General features: G+C 40.1%; 1 protein-coding gene and 1 long non-coding RNA gene across 11 annotated transcripts in view; both read left to right on the top strand.

Annotated features, from left to right (window-relative positions):
* PPP2R2B (protein phosphatase 2 regulatory subunit Bbeta) overlaps positions 1–21,474 on the top strand; it is a 500,779-nt gene that overhangs the window by 308,534 nt on the left and 170,771 nt on the right. The gene's annotated exons all lie outside the window — the stretch shown is intronic.
* On the top strand, positions 2,912–20,645 carry LOC107986461 (uncharacterized). The gene is made up of 2 exons (XR_001742922.2): positions 2,912–5,659; positions 6,687–20,645. It is a non-coding gene; the product is annotated as an uncharacterized LOC107986461 (long non-coding RNA).

Below are 21,474 nucleotides of genomic sequence, written 5' to 3'. Positions count from 1 at the left end.
TGCTATTTGACATCTGAAAAGCTTAAGTCTTGTCCTTTACAGGCAGAGGAGCCTTAGTAACAAAAGAGCTAGACAATCAAAACCCTTAAATGATATGGGATTAGTCTAGTGTTATGCCCAAGTGAGATTTCTATCCATATTCCTTTGTGTATTTTAATTTTCTGATTATGAGCAATGTTGGCTGTTCTTAAACGTTTGTGGCCACAGAAACCTTTGATCAAAAGAAACCTCACTTATGGGCATAAATAAATAAAGCAGATGAAGACACCAGTTGAGGAAAATGGACACATTGTTCATCCTTCTATGGTGGTGGCCCTTGAGGAGTTCCATGGCTAGGCCCCTGAAGAGCAGTTTTTTTGGTTGCATTAGTGGAATGCATTCCACTAAAAAGAATTCAAATTCACAAATGCATTCCTATAAACATGGAAACACAGAAGAATATAGACAAAGAAGTTGTTATCCCCTCTTTGACCCCACTCCCCTCTCTAGAGATTACCACCATGAACAATTTGGTGGGTCTCATTCTGGATCTTCTCTCTGTATTTAGAAATAAGTATATATATATATATATATATATATATATATATATATATATATATATATGCACAAGTTATTAACTAATATATAATTTTAGGATGTTAAAATATACATTCTACGTGCTCATAAGTTTTATATAGGCAAGGATTTTTGTCTGTGGTTCACTACTTTATCCCCACTCCCTAAACAGTACCTGACATATAAATCATCTATAAATGTTTGCTGTTTTAGGGGATAAATTATCCTGCAGCTTGCTTTTATGATCAGCAATAGGTCTTGGAGATCTTTCCATGATAGCCCATATAGAACCTTTTTAAAGGTTGCATTATGTTTTTTAGTATGGATATTCCAGAATTTGCTTTACCATTTTCCTGTAGATGTAATTCAGGTTGTTTCCAATTTTCTGCTAGTATAAGCAATGCTGCAACGAACACCCATGAAAATGATTCTCTGTGTACATGTGCAAGTGTTTCAGTAAGGTGGCTTTTTTGAAATAGAATTTGTATCTCTGAAGGTACACACATTCTGATCTCCTCTAGGTTTGTGGATTCCTTTCTCTTCTCCTGCAAGTGAAAAGAGCATGGAATACTTTTTATGGGCCAGGATATTGGGTATCTCATCCCCACCCACATTGCATTGGCTAGAAATTAGTCACATGCCCTCTTTTAACTGCAGTAGGGGATTGGGAAACACAGATTAGCTATATACCGAAGAAAAATAGAAAAATTGTTTGGAGAGTTTCTCACATGTCTGTCATAGCAAGAGAAGCTAGCAAATGTTCTACCTAATCATGTGCCCAGCTAAAACTTTCTTATTGTTCAAGAAGGGCAGGACTGATATTGGTAGACAGCTCATCATCTGCCACTGCTCTATTGACACTTGAGTTTGTAACTCTTATGGAAGGCATCTCTGGGGCAATCCCATCTATTTAAATCACATGTACCCTTCTCAAAACTCATATTTTACTGAATTTTAGCCCAATCTGAGTATACCTCAGGTCAACAGGCTCACTTGTAGTTGATCTGAAAATGACTGACAGCACAAGATGGATCTTTTTAAAAAAAATTAGTAGCACCTGTTCGCAAGGGATTTATTGTGTTTAGTGATCAGAAGCTGAGACTTTATCATCTGTCTCCAGATTGTCAAGTCACTTAACATGGCCTTTGAAATTTCTGTGCTGGTGCTGAGTGATGAACAAGCATCAAAGAGGTATTTCACTGCTCATTCAGTCTTCTTGGCCACTGATGAGAGCCAGACCATGGGATTAGGCCTGCTTCTAGAATTCTGGCACTGGGAGCTTTGGGTCTAAGATATAAAGATATATCCTCCTCCTTCTCCCATCTGATGTTATCTCATAATCAGCCAAAGTGAAACGTTATAATTTCTATTTATTTGTATTATTCTTTATGCAGCAGGAAAGCTGTCTGTGGCTTTTCAAAATGCGCCTGGTAGAGCATGGATGGCCCATCATGCATAGGTAAATTCTGATTTTTATTAAAAAAGAATGTCACTGTCCATATGAAACTTTGTTTTCTTTTGAGAAAGTAAATAGGTTGTTCTCTGTAAACTAAATTTGGTGGAGAGCTGCAAATCCCCTCTGCAACTGCTTGAGCCTCATTGAGCTATTTCTTGGCCCCCAAAGGCACTCAGCACTTCCCTGAATCCTGCTTTACTGACAACTCTTCCTGATAACAGCTCCCATGCATTCTCAAGTCCCAACTCAGACGACACCTCCTGTGTGATGATACCTCCCAACCCACATAGCAGATTTACTTGCTCCCTCAACTCTGACTTGTTGCCCTTAACATTTTTCTCTTAGTATCATAGTGCATTGCAAAACATTTGGAAATAAAGAGAAGCATAAAAGTAGAAACGTTAAATTACCTGTTATCATAACACCTAGTAATTTCTGTTAACATTTTTAATACATTTTCCCAATACATTTATTTTTATATAGAATTAAAAACTATATTATATAGTTTCTTACTTAGTAGTATATTGTGAACAATTTCACATCATTAAGGATTCTTTTTAATTGCAATAATTTTTTAGTGTTCTGGCCTATGTCTAGGATAATTTTTGAATTCTTCATTCTTTTTTTTTTTTTTTTTTTTTTTTTGAGACGGAATCTCACTCTGTCACCCACTCTGGAGTGCAGTGGTGTGATCTTGGCTTACTGCAACCTCCGCCTGCCTGGTTCAAATGATTCTCCTGCCTCAGCCTCTCCCGAGTATCTAGGATTACAGGTGTGCACTACCAAGTCTGGCTAATTTTTGTATTTTTAGTAGAGACGGGGTTTCACAGTGTTGGCCAGGCTGGTCTCGAACTGCTGACCTCAAGTGATCTGCCTGCCTCGGCCTCCCAAAATGCTAGGATTACAGGCATGAGCCACTACACCCAGCCAAATTCTCCATTCTTTTACATTTAGGTTATTTCTGATTTTTTTTGCTAGTATAAATAATGCTGACAAACATCGTTTTGATAAATCTGTGTATGCATCCCTGGGTTTTTTTTAGAATTAATTTTTAGAACTAGAATAACTAGGTCAAAGACAAGTACATGTGTATTTTTAATGCTTTTGGTAGGTTTTTCTAGGCCTTATAATAACACTTATCAGAATAAAATAATTGTGTATTTACCTGTTTTTATCTCACTTGTCTATAAGTTCTTTCAGAACAAGGACTTGCTCGTGTTTGTATTTATAGCATTTGGGATAGTGCCTAGCATATTACAAATGTCAATAAATGTTGAATAAATGAATGGAAAGAAATATTGGTAAGGTGGTTCACGGCAATTGAAGTTTAGCCATAAGCTAATATAGATCCTATGTAAAGCAGTATTTTCCAAGATATGTTCCGTGTCATTCATTCATTCAGCAAATATTAATCAGCCTCAGATATTGTCTTGTACCTCAACAATGATTGCTGATCCTTACAGTGCTTGCAAATCTAGTGAGAAAAGCTAAATGCATTAAATAATAAGAAGAAACGATTATAGTTTACGATAAACATGTAGGAAATAAACAGGATACTGCCATAGAACTGCGCAAACTTTAGCCTGTATCAGAATCACCTGAAGGGCTCGCTAATACACATGGATTTGCCACACCCCAGAGTTTCTGATTCAGCAGGTCTAGGGTGGGGCCTGAGAACTTGCATTCCTAACAAGTTCCCAGATGTTCCTGATGCTGTTGGTTTCAGGACCACATTTTGAAAACTACTGTGATAGGGAGTAACATCGAGAAGGGCAAGGGAGAAGGCTGTGCTTTAGGTGGTTACAAAAGCTTTGCCTGGCCTGTAATCCCAGCACTTTGGGAGGCTGTGGCAGGCAGATTGCTTGAGGCCAGGAGTTCAAGACCAGCCTGGCCAACATGGCAAAACCCTGCCTCTACTAAAAATACAAAAATTAGCCAGGCATGGTGGCACATACCTGCTTTCCCACCTACTTGGGAGGCTGAGGCAGGAGAATCACTTGAACCTGAGAAGCAGAGGTTAAAGTGAGCAATTCAGCCTCAGCCTCAGTGAGAGGCAGAGTGAGAGACTGTCTCAAAAAAAAAAAAAAGTAACAACAAATCTTTGCCTGACGATAAGATAGTTAAGCTGACACCTGAAGGATTAAGAGCTGTAAAAAGTCTCAGAAACACTAGGCAGATGCGACAGCAAATCTCCAGGAACAGGAAAGAGCTGGGAGGAGGCCAGTGAGACTTGCAGTTAATGAGGAAGAAAATAATAGTCAAAGTTGGAGATGTGGGCCCAATGTCAGATGGTGTGGGCCCAGCGTCAGATGGTATGGGACCTTATAGATCATGGGAAGAAGTTTGGATTTTACCTTAATGCAGTGGAAAGCCAGTTTATATTCTAAAGAGATCACTCTGTGTTAAGAGGAAAAAGGATGCAAAATAAGCAGGAGGTGAATGGAGAGACCAGATTTGGAGGCCATGACAGTGGACAGTGAGAGATGAGGTTGGTCTGAGCTGGGGAGTGACAGTGGAGATAGTGAGAAGAGGAGGGAATAAAACTGTTAACCATTTCACCCCCAGGAATTTCTTGGGAAGCATTGGCTACAACAAAATTACAACCAGTTCTTAGGACTTGCATGGTGGCTCTTTGGGACTTTGGGAGTCCAGGGCAGATGGATTGTTTGAGTTCAGGAGTTCAAGACCAGCCTGGGCAACATAGCGAAACACTGTCTCTACAAAAAATAAAAAAATTAGCTGGGTATGGTGGCATGCACCTGTAGTCCCAGCTACTCGGGAGGCTGGGGTGGGAGGATTGCTTGAGCCTGGGAGGTGGAGACTGTAGTGAGCTGTGAGTGTGCCACTGCACTCCAACCTGGGTGACGGAGTAAGACCCTGTTTCAAAAAAAAAAAAGAAAACCAATTGTTAACTGCTAGAGTTTTCAGATCCTTTCAAATGACAATGCTTATTGTGAATCTCTAATAAGATATTTTTCCCCAGAGGACCTCAGGTAATTGTTTTAAAAAATATATGGCTCTGGAAAAAGCTATAGAGACAGTCAAAAGATCAGCAGTTGCCAGGGTTTGGGGAGAGGGAGGAGTGAATAGGTTAGGCACAGATCATTTTTAGGGTGGTGGAACTACTGTATATGATTCTATAGTGGTAGATACGTGTCATGCTACATTTGTCCAAACCCTGGAATGTGCAATGCGAAGAGTGAACCCTAATGTAAACTATGGACTTTGGGTGATAATGATGTGTCAACAGAGGTTCATCGATTGCAACAAATGAACCACTGTGGTGGAGGTTGTTGATAATGGGGAGGCTGTGCATGTGTGGAAGCAGGGAGTGTATGGGAAATCTCTATAGCTTGTACTCAATTTTTCTGTGAACTTAAAACTGCTCTAAAAAAGTCTACTAAATATATATATATAGGTGTGTGTGTGTGTGTGTATGTATGTGTGTATTGGAGTCATAATTTAAACATCAGCCATTTCAAAGCTTCTTGCCTTGTGTTGGCTTCAGCAGCATGGGAACTTGTTAGAAACACTTCCTACTGAAAGATTCACTCTATACCACGGAAGAACCAGCTGCAGAGTCAGTGACAGTCTTAGGAATATGGTACCAGGAGCATTTCTGACCATGGACTGCTAACCCCAGGCAAAGTATGAATTAAATGAAATTTGCTTACAGACTAAATGACTGATGTGTCTGTGAATTCTTTGGACTCCCCAAACAGGAGACAAGGGGTGGGCCTCGGGGTTCAAATTTTGAAGGATATGAGCCACTTTTATATATTCTCAAGTATTCCTGTTTTGTGATTTTCTTCTTGGCCTAAACATTTAGTGAAGTCTGGATATATGCAAGGAGAAACTAATGCTACCTAAGATATTCTGTGCTGTTACTGTCTCTGCTGAGCCTTTTTTTTTTTTTTTTTTTTTTTTTTTGAGACACTTCTATGCCCAGGCTGGAGTGCAATGGTGTGGTCTCGGCTCACTGCAACCTCTGCCTCCCAGGTTCAAGTGATTCTCCTGCCTCAGCCTCCCAAGTAGCTGGGACAACAGGCATGCGCCACCTCACCTGGCCAATTTTTGTATTTTTAGTAGAGACGGGGTTTCACCATATTGGCCAGGCTGGTCTTGAACTCCTGACCTCAAGTGATTCTCCCGCCTTGGCCTCCCAAAGTGCTAGGATTACAGACATGAGCCACCGTGCCCCACCTTCTGCCAAGCTTTTTTATGGTGCCGTAGGGCCCACGGTGTTGTGGTAGCATTCACTGTTCCAGAAGCTAAGACAAGAACTTGCTGTCTGTGAGACTTTGAGAACTTAACCTCTCTGAGCCTGTTTTCTCATTTGAAAGTATAAATAATAGAAATCACCTCATGAAGTACTTACAAGGATTAGTGAAATTACTCAGGGAAAGTACTGAGCACAACACTAGCTATAATAATGGCTGCTGTGTTATCAGAAGGAATTATGTGTTTTTTACCTCAGTCTTGGTCAGACTTTAACTTGGTTCTTTTCACCTGCCTGGAGCCTTTTCCCACTCCCCACTCACTCCTGGCTTAGGCATTTAGCCACAGTTCTTCCTCCGGTTTATTTGGGGTGGAATATTGTAGGGAGTGATATCTCTGGAAAATGGTAATTCATCTCAAATGCTAATTTAGAGACATTTTCTCTTTTTTTTCCCAGACATCTTTTTTAAACCTAAAAATACTGGAATAAATTTTTGTGGGAAGAATGGAATTTGATTCTTTATCATCAGCAAAATACATCAAAGACTACTAAGTATGTGGTACAGTAACTTTTCATGAGCTGTTAAAGTTAGCAAAGACATCTTTCTGCATTTAAGCTAGGAGCACATTACAGAAAGTATAATGAGGGCTTTTCAAGAGATGCCATTGGCTCCTTTTTCCTCAAATAATTATTAATGATTTAATGATACTTATTTTCCTTTAAAAGAACATGTTTAGGTATCACCATCTTAATTCTTTAATCACCAGATGATAATAAATGGAGAGTCTAAAAAGTTCTGTCCAAAACAACCAGTCTAAACACTTTCCCAAAGTGACTATTTTCCGGGCTTGAAAGTTACCAGCATGAGAAATCGTGATCCAGTGAAGGCATACGTGTGTCAGGGTGACTTAATTAAAGTCTCTCTGATGGCTGTTTGAGAAAACTAATGGGTTTCTTTGTCTAAATCCAAAAGCTCCTATGATATTAAGTTTACCCCAATCACTTCCTGTGGTGTGAAATATGCATTAACTATCTTCTCTACAAATCTGATGAGAAAACCAAGTTCTAAATGTAATGTGTGTCATGTTGGAAGAATCTGGATAAAAGTATTTGAGCCAGTGTAGTAGATGTTAAGAAACAAAGCATGGTCTTGATTATTTCACATTGCGCACAGTTTAACTATTTATAATTTAGAGTGGCAATTTAGATGTTACCAATAATAAGTCAGATGCTAACACAAAGGGTTTTGGCCACTTCTCATAATATGTGGTTTATGTTGCTCCTTCCATGTTCTGGGCACTGTTCTTCAAATGCAGGCTTAACTTTGAGGCTCAGAGGAATAAGGAAAAAGAGATAGATTTTCCTTATTTCTCATATGTTGTTAAAGCCCTTATGAAACTTTCTTACCAGAATGGTAATGACTCTGAAAATTACCCTAGTACAAGGTGTGAAAACACACACTGCCTAGACGTGGATTTCCTGTGCTCAGTCTAGCTAAGGGATGTGAAAGCATTCAGATATCATATGAAAACTACATCTTATAATGTATGAATGTGAAATATAGTTATTATTTACATCTGTGTTTCCAAGCAACCTTTTAAAATTTGATATCACATTTTCTATAGCATATAAGAAATCTTCACTGATTTGGAACTTAAAAAAGAAGATACATTTGTCATAAAATAGTATGTATGACACACTTTTAACAAAATCTACTTATTCTTCTGAAACCTCTATGTGTTTTCTACCAAGAGTTTAATTATTGGCCTTATTAACTCTTTTTATACCTGAGGATAATTAAATTCTTAATTGTACTGCAATGACATATGATTCAAGTAGCTTAATATTTTGGCAATAACTAGGAAGATCCACTAGGATGGTTTAGATGGGGCAGAGTACGTGTGCGTGTGCGTGTGTGTGTGCGTGTATCTCTCTCTCTCTCTCTCTCTCTCTCTCGGGATAGAGATGTTCCATAAAGAGACATCTCTTGGCTAGCAAGATCACCTCTTGAGATTAGAAGGACTTAAATTATCTTAACTGTAGCAGCCACCAAAAGGCCTGGGACCTGTGACATTCCCACTGAGGTTGCCTATGACTGAATGGAGATGTATAATGGAGAGTAATGAACTCACTCTTGCAGGTGCAGCAGAAGTAGACAAGTATGTGATCAAGGGATAAGGACTCTGGGGAAATGGAGCATGAGAGCTGAGAGATGCCTGCTTAAAACATTTTATCCATTAGGGGAATGATTCTGGGTCCAAAAGTTATGTTTGGTTGTATAATTACTGACTTGAGCCATCCAGAAGAGGCAATAGACTTGTGTATTTGCTTGAGTTGGAAAGGAATGAAGAAATAGCGCCCTAAATACTCCTGCGAAATAATAACTTTCATTCCACCCTAAAGCCAAAGTGATATATCCAAATGTAAATCTGTTCCTACTTAAAAATCTTCAGTGGCTCCTGGCTTCTCAGGGTAAATTCCTTCAAAAGTGGGCCCACAAGGCTTTTGTCATCTGGTGCCTGCCCACCCCCCTCCAGACTCAGGTCCCTACAGCCCACAGCTGGAGTGCCCCTTCCACTTTCCGTCATGGGGCTGGCTCCATGAAGTCCTTCAGACTCAAACCAGCTTCCATCTTCTCTGTGTTGAGCTGGTTGCCCCTCTCTGTGTGTTCTGCCACCTGTACGTTTCTCTTTTCTGTGAAATTCCTTTTAATAATTATATTAAAATTGTTGCCAGGATCAGTGGCTCACACCTGTAATCCCAGCACTTTGGGAGGCCAAGGCAAGAAGATAGTTTGAGGGCAGAAGTTCAAGACTAGCCTGTGCAATATAGTGAGACCCCCCTCTACAAAAAATAAAATATAAAAATTAGCCAGGCATGGTAGCACATGCCTGTAGTCCCACCTACTTGGGAGGCTGAGACAGTAGGATCACTTGAGTCCATAAAGTCAAAGTTGCAGTGAGCCATGATAGCACCAGTGCATTCCAGCCTGAGAGACAGAGCAAGACCTTTGGAAAGAAGGGTCCTTGTCTTAACTCATTTTTGGGTCCCAGTCCTTAACATAGCAGGTGGCACATGACAGGTGCTTGGTAAGCATTCTTTTAACAGAACTGTGGGAAACCTAAATTGCTGTAGCTTTTATTTCTGTGGCTAATAAATTATTTTCACTGCATTTGGTCTTGCTTACCTCCTTATGAGCAGCAGAAAAGCAGTTGTAATAAGCTACCATTTATTGAGCACCAGCCAAGAGTCAGTTCGTGTGTTGGGTATGTCACATGCATTAATGCTTACTGAATTGCCAAAAGAGTCATACCACTCTTGGGTAAGATTATCATCATCATCATCCTTTCCAAACAAGAAACCAGAGGCTCAGAGAGGTTGAGAAACATACCGGAAGATCCTCAACCAGCATTTGAACCAGCTGCGTTATTTCTATCCTATACGCTAGGAAGCTGTCCCTTGGTGGGTTCCCGTTTATCAAATAGCACATTTCCCTGTCTGTGCCCTGGAGCTATTTCCATTTCCTCCTTCATGTTTGCTTACTAGACCCTGAGCAGGTCGTGGAGCAAAAGCACTTTGGATGCCAGTGACAAGGGTGTGATTCCAGAGTTGAAGGCTGATGTTTTAACTGTGCGTTCAGTTCAGGTTGTTATTGATTTCTCTCCTCTCCACTTTGTTATGGCCAAGTGCTCCAGGCAGAAATCTAGCAAAACAGGCTCACAGAGCTGCTCTTGGAGCCAGGCGGGTCACAGGTCACTCCACTGATGTGCGGGGCACATTAGCCAAATGACAGAGGCTCAACTAGAGAACTCAAAGTGACCGTAGTCAGATGTTGGTGATATTCCACACATGTTCCTTATTACCTACCAGCCTGAAGCAGGGCAGACCTGGACTTGGTCTGGTTTGCTTCCAGGACAATGATGCTAGTCGCCCAGGCCTTCTATGAATCCACAGCCTCTTGACCACAACAATTACACTGCATTATAATTACTTGTCTAGGTGCCTGTCTTCATTCCTATGAGTTTCTTAAGCATGATGGTTGGGTGCCGTGCATCCCTATTTATTTATTCAAGTCACAACTGTTAAGCACAGACTGTACTTCAAGTTCTGTGCCTGACTCTGGATATATGGAGATGAATAGAATGGATTAGACCAGAAATCTGTTCCCAAAGAGTATGTAGATATGTAAGAAATAACTACTAAAAACTGTTGTGAGAATGCTTAGATATTTTTCATCTCTATTACCCAAAATCTTAGCACAGCACCTTGAATAGAAAGAGTAGTGAACAGAACTGAGTGCTGACTGTATGCCTGGAACTGTGTTATGTGTTTTATATTCACTATCTCATTTAATCCTCATAACTGCCTTCTGTGCAGCTTTCGGTACTATTTTCTTCTCCATTTAATAGATGGGGAAACTGATGCCTTCAGAGAATGCTGAAGTGAGTGAATTCAAGTGTAGTCTTCCCATTGAGTCCACGTTGTTCATAACTGCTTATTGTTGCTTCCTAAAATCTATGAAAGATTATTCTATATTCTGCAGTAAACTGTTCTTTTGTTTTAGCCAATATCAGTAACTTTTTTCTTTAACATTTTGTCCATTAAAGGAATTCTACCAGTCCCAAGAGCATGTTGTATGAAATCATATCATTCCATTATGTTTGAGTGGCCATTTGGAGTCAGAGCTGTTTAAGAAATACTGTCAGGCTAAGATGCTAAGATGTCTTCAGGCTGGAAGGTTTAGGTCCCAAGACAGATTGGAAATGTAGTGCTTGTCAGCTCCTCCTACAGCCCTTCTCTGCCATCATTCCCACATACACTCTGCAGAGAGCTCAATGCGGTTTGCTATCTGACAAACATCCTAGATTAGTGAGTCCCATCTTTTTTTATCCCTCATCAAGCCAGGGAAACATTACTAAATTATCACACATTAAACATGTTACACACCAGGCACCATGCTAGGTGTTTTACAAACATCTCCTCATACTGTAATTATTATTTTCCATCTTATTGATCAGAAAACTGAGGTTAAAAAAGAAATGAGACATGGCCAAAATTTCAGCTCAGGCAATCTGACTACAAAATCCAGACAGTTACAACCCTCAAATATTTTCTTTTTTTTTTTTAAATTTTATTATTACTATACTTTAAGTTTTAGGGTACATGTGCACAACGTGCAGGTTTGTTACATATGTATACATGTGCCATGTTGGTGTGCTGCACCCCCCACTTCCCACACCCCACAACAGTCCCCAGTGTGTGATGTTCCCCTTCCTGTGTCCATGTGTTCTCATTGTTCAATTCCCACCTATGAGTGAAAACTTGTGGTGTTTGGATTTTTGTCCTTGTGATAGTTTGCTGAGAATGATGGTTTCCAGCTTCATCCATGTCCCTACAAAGGACATGAACTCATCATTTTTTATGGCTGCATAGTATTCCATGGTGTATATGTGCCACATTTTCTTAATCCAGTCTATCGTTGTTGGACATTTGGGTTGGTTCCAAGTCTTTGCTGTTGTGAGCAGTGCCGCAATAAACATACATGTGCATGTGTCTTTATAGCAGCATGATTTATAATCCTTTGGGTATATATCCAGTAATGGGATGGCTGGGTCAAATGGTATTTCTAGTTCTAGATCCCTGAGGAATCGCCACACTGACTTCCACAATGGTTGACCTAGTTTACAGTCCCACCAACAGTGCAAAAGTGTTCCTATTTCTCCACAACCTCTCCAGCACCTGTTGTTTCCTGACTTTTTAATGATCGCTATTCTAACTGGTGTGAGATGGTATCTCATTGTGGTTTTGATTTGCATTTCTCTGATGGCCAGTGATGATGAGCATTTTTTCATGTGTTTTTTGGCTGCATAAATGTCTTCTTTGAGAACTGTCTGTTCATATCCTTTGCCCACTTTTTGATGGGACAACCCTCAAATATTTTCTTCAATACCCCTGGTAAACTTCAACAGCAATTTTTCAACTATGCGAGTCAAGGGTGGGTGAGAGTGAAGTTTGAAAAAGCACCCCTCCCCTCAGCCAGGTATTTCCAATGCATCCCTCACCCACAAAATCACAGCAGAGCATGCAGACCATACTAATAATTCCAGGTGCACCTTAACTTCTGAGGTCTCTTCTGACTTGCAGCTCCTCAGTCTCTTCCTCCTTTAAATCTAGAGCATATTTGCTTTAAATTGTTTAGTTTGATAATTCATCACATACAGTCTTATCACCTCACATCTTCCACTTGGGTATCTTGCCTGTCTTTTCCAGCAAGAGTATGAGTTGCTGGAGAGCAGAGAGTTCATTTCATCCCATAATAGCACATGGTGGCCACAAAGACACTTAATAAATGCTGCTTGTTTGCTTAAATAGAGGCAGTATAGTTTGCTGAACTCTGGAGGCAGACAAGCTTAATTTTCTACTTACTAGCTATGCAGTGAAAATTATAAAAATTCCATATACTTCAGTTCCTTCATCTGCAAAATAGAGATTAAAGCAATACCTTATAGGGTTGCCAGGAATATTAAGAGGGTACATATAAAGCACTTGGCATAGTTCCTAACACATAATATGCACTCAATAAATAGTAATTATTGATGTTATTACACAACAGCTGAATTTATTCGTGTTTACTGTGTGTTACATGCTGTGCTAAATGCTTTGTATGCAATTATCATTTAATTTTTACATAATATAGGAAGCAGATTTAGCTTCTAAACAAACACACCTTTCTTGTTACCCAAAAGTTATTTAAGATTATCAGATGCTCTCACTGTCTTCAGAGTTGTGTCATAGGATGGGAAGGCACAAATATGATATTGTAATACACTATTGGCACATCATATAACTGTAAGACATCACAATAACTACTAACAACAACTAAAGCACTGGAGTTGACAAATGTTTTGCTCTTTTATATAAATTAATATAGATTCAAAATAATTATGATACCAGCACTTCCTGTTCTTATACCCTCCGTCACAAATGAAAAAAAAAAAAAGGGAAGAAATGGATTTGCCAGTCAGACCCACCCATATGGACACTTCATTAATATATGTTATTATGAAGAATAGGGTGTGTATAGATGAAGATACCTGCAGAGGATGTTGAGAGTGCAACAGGAAGGGATGCACCTAATTCAACTTGGAAGGTGGAGGCAAGGAGAGCTTTCTAGAGGTGATGCCTGAGCAGAGTCTTGGAGGATAAGTAAGAGTTTCTTAAGCCCACAGGGGAGGTGGGGGTGAAGGTGGGGACAGAACAATCAGAATTCTGTTGCTGATTGGCTGACTCTAAACATGTCAGTAATGTGCCTTTAAACTCAGTTTTAGTTTTCTGCGATGGATAATTCCTTTTTCCCTGAGTGTTATGAGGTTGGCTTAATTAATGTTTGCAAAGCTTTCAGTAATCTTCAGATAAAAGGTGAGGTAGAGGGGAAGTATATTACTTATTATCATAGCTTTACCAGCATCTGATCACATAAGGAAAATTCCCTGAAAGGTCATTTCTAAGAAGCAATATTATTAGTCTGGTGGTTCTTAAGCCTTATGTAACTTCCTGGAACAATGCAATAGCAAGGGAGAAAAATGACATCAACATGGAGATAATAATGAATTTAAATCATAAGCCTTATTTCCTTACTGCAGCTGCTGAGTATGAGACAAGCTTGAAGCTTCTAAACTTAACTCAGCCACTGCCTGGAAGCATCTAATTAAAAGTTTTCAAATAAAATAAGTAAGTTTTTGTAGATAAAAGAGCAGATGGCTTAAGAAGAGAACTGAAAGACTGCATTAGGAAAGTATTAGGTTTTAATTCCATTTGGGAAAAAAAAAATTCCATGTAAGAGAGGGCAGGGATTGGAAGTAAAAAAACCTAGGGGTCTGTAGAGACAGGATTAGGGCCTGTGCTATCATAAATGTAGCTGTGAAATTTTAGTTTGTAGGATAACTAAATTTTTCTGTTGCTCAGGATTATTCCTATGACCTACAGAAGATATTCTCTGTCTTCTGCAAACCAGTGTCCTTCCATTCCCCAGAGTGGTTTCTGTTCATTCTTCCTTTCTTTCATTTGACCCGTAGGTATTAAGCTCCTACTAGGTACTGGTACTTCTTTAGATGCTAAGGATTCAGGATGGGGAAAAATCAGACAAAGTTTGTGGCGTCTCATGGAGCCAACTTAATGGGGAACTCATTCATTAGTGAATTGGCTAATGAAATATAGCTCGTGAAAATATTTAAATATTTTTAAATGTCATGTAAACATTTGCTGTTATTTCATCATGATAGTGCCGTATTTGTATTTTATTAATTTAATAAAATACTTGGACAGATGTCATAATGAATCCTCATAACAAGCCTTTGAGGTAATGTTGGTAACTTTTAGCCAAGAGGAAAGAGAAATTCAAAGAATGAGGGTTCTTGCCCCAGATCACAAAGCTGTTTCATGGTAGAGCTGAGACTGAAACCTAGCTCCTCTGGTGCTAGTTCACCTGTTGCTTTTGCTGCTACAGATTGAGCCTTTGGGGCAATCATTGAAATTTTGGTTATCTATCATTTGTAAATCTCTAAGCCAAGGAGAATGCTTGTATGAGTAACTCCAGAGAAAGCAGACATCACTGATGTTAATGTTGAGAGGAAGGGGTGGCCTGTCACAAAGAATATCACATAAACAGAACCATAATGTGAGCAAAATCAACTGAGGAATAGCATCACAATGCCAAGCTCCATATCTGGACAGGTCTGAGTAGCTGAGAGGTTTCATGTCCTTCCTTGGTTGTTTTCCTTTGGACATCTCCTTATGTCTACTCAGCTTCATTTCAGGCGACCAAGCCTTCAAGGTGCATGGAAGAGTTCCGCTTGGCCTCAAAGCTTTGTGGAAAATGGAAGTTTAAACCCTGTAGGTTTTCTTGGCCTTCAAAAGCCAAGGTGATGTCAGGGCAAAGGGTTCCACTTGGATGCAGATCAAGTCACTGGTTATTTCTGGAACTTTCTTGCAGTTTGGTTCCACAGGATAGTCTAAGTACCAGTGTGATTTGGGATACAAGCAATATTCTTGTATTCTTTCCTTCCCCCATATCGCATGTTTGTACAGATTTCAGAGATCCATATATTAAATTTGGGACACTCCAGGGAAGACCCCTATGTCCTCTGTGCAAGACACATAGCAACTAGTGAGGCCATCTATGTTTTCCAGACACCCCTGCATGTCCAAAACAATGTCCTCTTCAAAGTCACCTCAAATGGGGCTTCCATCTCTCGCCTTCCACCCATTTTCCTTTAAACTCCAAAGCAGTTGTAGTTCTCTGCTGGTATGTGTCTCTTTCTTCTATTTTTGTGTTCCTACTGTGGTCCCTCCGTTCCACAATCCTCACCCTACATGGCAGCCAGTACTATCTTTAAATATGTGTATGCAATAGATATTTATATGTGATACCATTATATAAAGTTTTCACTAAATGTCATAAATTTATATAAAACCATGTTCCCGCTCTACTTCTAAACCTTCTGTGGCTTCCCTTTGTACACAGCACAAAACTGTCACATTCCACCATGGCCTGGGCAACCTGCCTACCTCCCTCCCTCTCCACTCAGCCCCCAATTCCATTGCCTGTCAGTTCCTCACACTTGCCATGCTCTCTCCTCCTTCAAGCCCTCACTCCTGATCTTCCCTCCACCAGGACTGTTCTTCCCCATGTGTTTTGAAAGGCTGGCCTTTCACATCCTAAAAACAAGAAAACCCCACTCTCACTCAGAGCTTCATTCTCTAGCTCCACTCTCCATTGTCTACCCTCCTTAATCTTAATTTGTCTGCCTCCTCCACCAGAATGTAAGTGTTGCAAGGAGAGGAACCACATTTGACATATCCTTGGAGCTTCAGCCTGCCTGGCAGAGAGCTGTGCAGTAATTGAATGAATGGTGGATGTGCCTTGTTACCCATCCAGCCTAAAATGCAGCTCACTGCACATACAAACAACAGTCACTGAATGTTGACTATGCATCAGGCATTCTTTTAAGTACACGACATGAATTCACTCATTTAATTCTCATGGAAACCATGTGATGCTGGTACTATTATTATCAGCCCCATTTTTCAGATAAGAAAACTGATAAGTTAAAGGGTTTTAAATATCTAACAGAAAAATAATTTGCTTAAGACTTTGCAGCCAGAAAATGACAGAGCTAGGATTCAAACCCAGGCATCCCAGAGGCTACCTTTTAACTTTCCTGTCTTCCTGCAGAAAAGATTCACATATACTTTTCAGTTAATCGAAAGAAACTTGGAATACACACTGCAGCATGGGGAAAATGAAGAAACCTCACATCTGCCGTAGTGTATTCTTTCCCAGGCTGAGGAAGCTAGCATGCAGTATCATTATTTCTTTAGTGTGTCCATATGAAAGGAAAACCAGAGTAATCTCTGCAGATGCTGGGATTGAAAGAATCATTGTCCCCTCATCAGAAAGGATAATTAAGAGCCCCTCTGCCCATTAAATGAGGCAATGAATGGTAACCCACTTTGTAGGGTATAAAATGCCCTATAAATGTTAGTTATTCTTATTCCCAAGCTCTATGGAACAGCGGCTTATGTTACAAAACTACTGATTCAGAATCTTTCAGAAGTACTAAATCTACTCAGTAGTCAAGAGAAGGAAATGCCTCTGGTTTGTTCCTTCCCATCATCCTGAAAATTAAACAGCAATCCATTCTTCTCCTGCATTTCCAAAATCCAGGGTCAGAGATATGCAAATGTAAGTATGCAGGCTGCTTTTAAATGATACATGAAAGGGATTTTTGAAATGAATGTGCTGTGATTGAATTTCTGGTCAGTCACCCAGAAGGCATTTTGCAGCTAAGCTCTGGACCCAATTCCACTGAAAATGCATAAGCTTTGGTGCCTGCAGCCAGTCTAGCCACAGACGAGGATCAGGGTCCTTGCCTTGGAACTGCTATTAAATGATGCAGACCCCCAGGCTCGAAGTTGAAAAACAAATTAGCACAAGCCTAAAAGAAATCCAATACAAAGTTTACTTTTAAAATACCTTTTCCATAACCTTACCTGACAACAAAACCTCTTTGATTTTAAACCATTTGATGAAACCACAGTGCATTAATATATAACTTGGCTTTTTCAGTAGAGCTTATCTTTGTCATTTTCAAAATAATTTGGATGCTCTTTGGGAATACAAATATTGCCAATTGGTGTTGTCCAAAGAAAGGTCTCTTTGACCTGCTTTAATAATAGATAAGAAACATGAGTAAAAATGATCATTTATTATATATGACTTATGCTAAGGTGATTTTTAAGAGTAACTGACAGGAGTTGGCTTTCTTAAGTAGGTTGGAGAGCTCCGCTGATAACCTTGTTTATTATTAAATGAGTTTGCTAAGCAACCCTTTTACTTGAAGGTGATCAAAGGTAAACCTCAGCTTTATCTGACTTGCCATGAAATTCCAAAGTAGTAGAATTTTACATTGTATTTCTTCCCTTTTAGTGCTTTCTAAAATTATGTCAGTAATGCATGTATGAATGCATGTATAACAAAAATAGAGACACAACAGGTGAAGCTAATCTTATCCCCACCCTCCATCCCTCTCCTCTCCACTTCTCAGAGGTAACCCCTTCATCACTATGGCACATCTCCTGCCAAACCTTTCTCTAAACATTTGTCTCCATGTGTGTATTGTTAAGTTATTTAAAAATTTATGTTTATATAAACGGTGTATTGTTGTCAATTGCTGCCATGAACAGTGACTTGAAATAACAAATATTTACTATCTCTCACACTTTCTGAGAGTGAGCAATCCAAGGGCACTAAGCTCTGGGGGGTTCTAGTTCATGATCTCTCCTGAAGTTGTAGTCAGGGTCTAAGCCAGGACTACAGTCATTTGGAAGCTTGACTGGGACTGGAGGAAGTGCTTCCATCATGGCTCACCAACACAGCTGTTGCCTGGAGTCTTCTGTCCATCACTGGCTATTGACAGGAGGCTGCCACATGGGCTTCTCCACAGGGTTCCTGGAGTGTCCTTAAAACACAGTAGTTGGCATCCTCTAGAGTGAGTGATGGGAGAGTAAAAGAATGAAAGAGAGAGATCAAGAAGGAAGCCACAATACCTTTTTATTACCTAGTCTTGGAAGTGGCACCTTGTCATTTATGCCATATTCTGTCCACTAGAAATGAATTACTAAGTCTGGCCCAAACTCAAGTGGAGGCGAATTAAGCTGCATCTCATAAGGGAAAGAGTATCGAAGAACTTCTGTATGTATTTTAAAACCACTACATATGGCATAGTGCACATATGCTTCTGCAAATTTGCTTTTTTCGCTTAACAATCTTAGTTTTCCATGACAATACATGGGGGTCAACTTCATTCTCTTTAGTTGCTGCATGCTATTCCACTACCTATTTAATCATTCTCCTCCTGATGAGTACACCTCGAGATCGCTCCCAGACTTTCACTTCTGCAGATGACACAGCAATGGGGGTACTTGCTTACTCCTCAGCACATGTGCCAGGATTTCTCTAGTAAAAATGCATTGATGCAGAATTGCTGAGTTGAAGGGTCTGCTTATTATAACAGTTATGGCTAAATTGCCCTCCAGAACGGCTGTTGTAATTTCCAATCATCCTTCATCTGACACGTGGCGGGGGCTTGTGGCAGAACTTTGGTGGGCAAAATATCTTGGGGACTTTCAGATTATTTTTGGCCCTTTTCAAGCCTGGATTTATGATGAGAAATTATCCTGTCTGACACCCACTTTGCTCATAATTGCAACCTCTTTCCTACAATTCTGCTTGATTTAAGCAAAAATCCAGAAGCTCATCCCTCAGGAGACAGGGAAGCTTAACTGCTGTTTACAAAGGACTTGGAGGTTTTCAGGTACAAGTTGCCCCTGGAGATTCAGGTTGATTAGTGTTAATTCAAAACCACTTCCTCTATTATGGTAGCAGCTGAGAAGTCACATGCACAAATCAAGCATGTGGATTTCAATGAAAAGGAAAATGCCATTTCAGTAGCAGCTATTCCCGGACTCTGGCTGAGCCTTCCTATGGCAAGTATTATTGATGCATAAAATCATCGAATCCTCTGGGTCCTCCCACTTCTCACTTATCTTTAGTTTAAAACCGAGCATCAGACCGAATTCCTTACATTCAAGCTGCCAAGTGTCCTTGGCTGGCAAGAATCTCCCTCCCTGTAATATCAATAATTAATGTCAGCTACCAGTCCTGAGACAGCTGACAAAAGGAACTGGCCTAGTTCATTTCTACTTATTTACTGTGTCCATCTTTGGTGAAAATGTTTGGTCAGATTCAAAATGGTGTGTCACCAAGGCAACCAGCACTTATTTATTCAATACAAACTTATTGAGGTCCTGCTCTGTGTAAGGTTCTATACTGTCTATTCTCTGTGTGTGGGAGAGTATTCACATTATACCCTCACAAATTTGAAGTCTGATGATAATTATTACCAAGTATTTTGCACTTCTTGTGTACCAGACACTGTGCTAAGCATTTCATGGACAATAACTTTTCCTTCTCATAGCAGCCCTGTTAAGTAGGTAGCATTCCCTTTTTACCCACATGTGTCATGATAAATACAAAACCCTAGTTCTGTCATGGAGCAGCTGCTCATCTTATCCAGGTTCTGAACCCAGCTAAGCCCCAGTGCTTGAGAAGGTTGTACTAGTTCTGCTTTTGCCAAAATGTGTTTCTTTCCACAAGAAGCTCCATGAAAAATTTGAAGTCATAGCCACAGCATCTATGCTTCTCAGAGATCCCTGAGGCCCACAGTGGCTTCTCCTGTGGATCTCAGCTCAGAGAAGTTTCACCTGTGTTCCCCGAAGTGATCAGATCCCCAGATAATACACTTTCATACCTCCATGTGTCTTTCCTTCAGAGTTTTTAGCACAGTGAAAGTCTGTTGGTGAGATTATTTACTATGGCTCTGCCAGGCTGCTGGAAGCTCCATGAGGCTGCAGGCAATGCTTTTTTTCTGCTCATTTTTGTTTTCCCAGAGCCTGGCACAGTGCCTGCCACAGATAATCAATACTATTTAATCCATTAACTGATTGCTCTGAAAAGAACTACACACACACACCCCAAAAACCTGGGGACTTAACTTATCTCACACATTGCAAACCTCATTCAGCAAACTTTTACTGATCTTATTTCAAGATCCAGGCACTGAATTAGGTACTAAAGATATTGCAATAAACTAAGCAGACATGGCACTTATTCTCTTAGGTCTTGCATTTCAGTGGGGAATCCGGATGATAAATGAGTCAAATAAAATGAATAAGATAATTTCAGATATGTGTTAAGTTCTGAGAAATAAAATGAGCAGCACTGATAGGATGAGGGGTGGTCAGGGAAGATGTCTCCAAAGAGAAGACATTCGATGGAGACCTGAATCATGATAAGGAGCCAACATTGTGATGTTACAGGCACTGCTTTTTTTCATCTCAATAAATGTATCACTCAGAACAAAACCCCTGGAGTCATCCTTGACTCCTTCCTCTCATACTCCAAGGCAAGTGCAAGGCAACCCTACAGTATCTCTACCTTGACAGCGTCTCAAGCTGATCAGCCTCTCCCCACCCTCACTGCTACCACACTAGTCCAAGCTGCCACCATCTCTCACTTGGACTTTTCTAATAAACTTGTAACAGATTTCTATCCACCATCTGTTCTCTGTAAGTCAAATCATGTCTCTGTGGCTCCTCCTTACACTGAGGGTAAAAGCCACAGTGCTAACCAAGGCCTGCAGTTTCACATGATCTGGCCTCCTCCCTACCCCCATTTCCTGCCACTCTTCTGCCCTAGCACACTCCCCTTCTTGCTACCCACAAATAGGCCAAATGTGCTCCTGCGTCAGGCTCTTTGCACTTGTAGTTTTCTCTTTCTGGAAAAGCCCATGTGCTTTTGTGTTGTGCTCCATCACTTCATTCAAGTTCTTCTCATATGTTCACCAGAAGACCTGCCCCCACCCTCTGGGGGCAATCACCATTATTCCCTATGACTTAACTCTGTTTAATATTTCTTCATAGAACTCATCACACAAGGCAGGATATTATCTATGTGTGTCTTCCTCCTCCATTAGAATGTAAACTCCATGAGGGTAAGAACTGAGTTGACTTTGTTCACTGTTGTATTCCCAATACCTAGAATATTTATTTCTATTCAATCAACAGTTCTTGAATAAACAGAAGAATAAATGAAAGAATGACAAAATGCAAAGGCCTTGAGTCA

Source organism: Homo sapiens, chromosome 5 (assembly GCF_000001405.40).
Source record: "Homo sapiens chromosome 5, GRCh38.p14 Primary Assembly".
NCBI lineage: Eukaryota > Metazoa > Chordata > Mammalia > Primates > Hominidae > Homo > Homo sapiens.
This window is presented reverse-complemented; position numbering and strand designations above follow the sequence as displayed.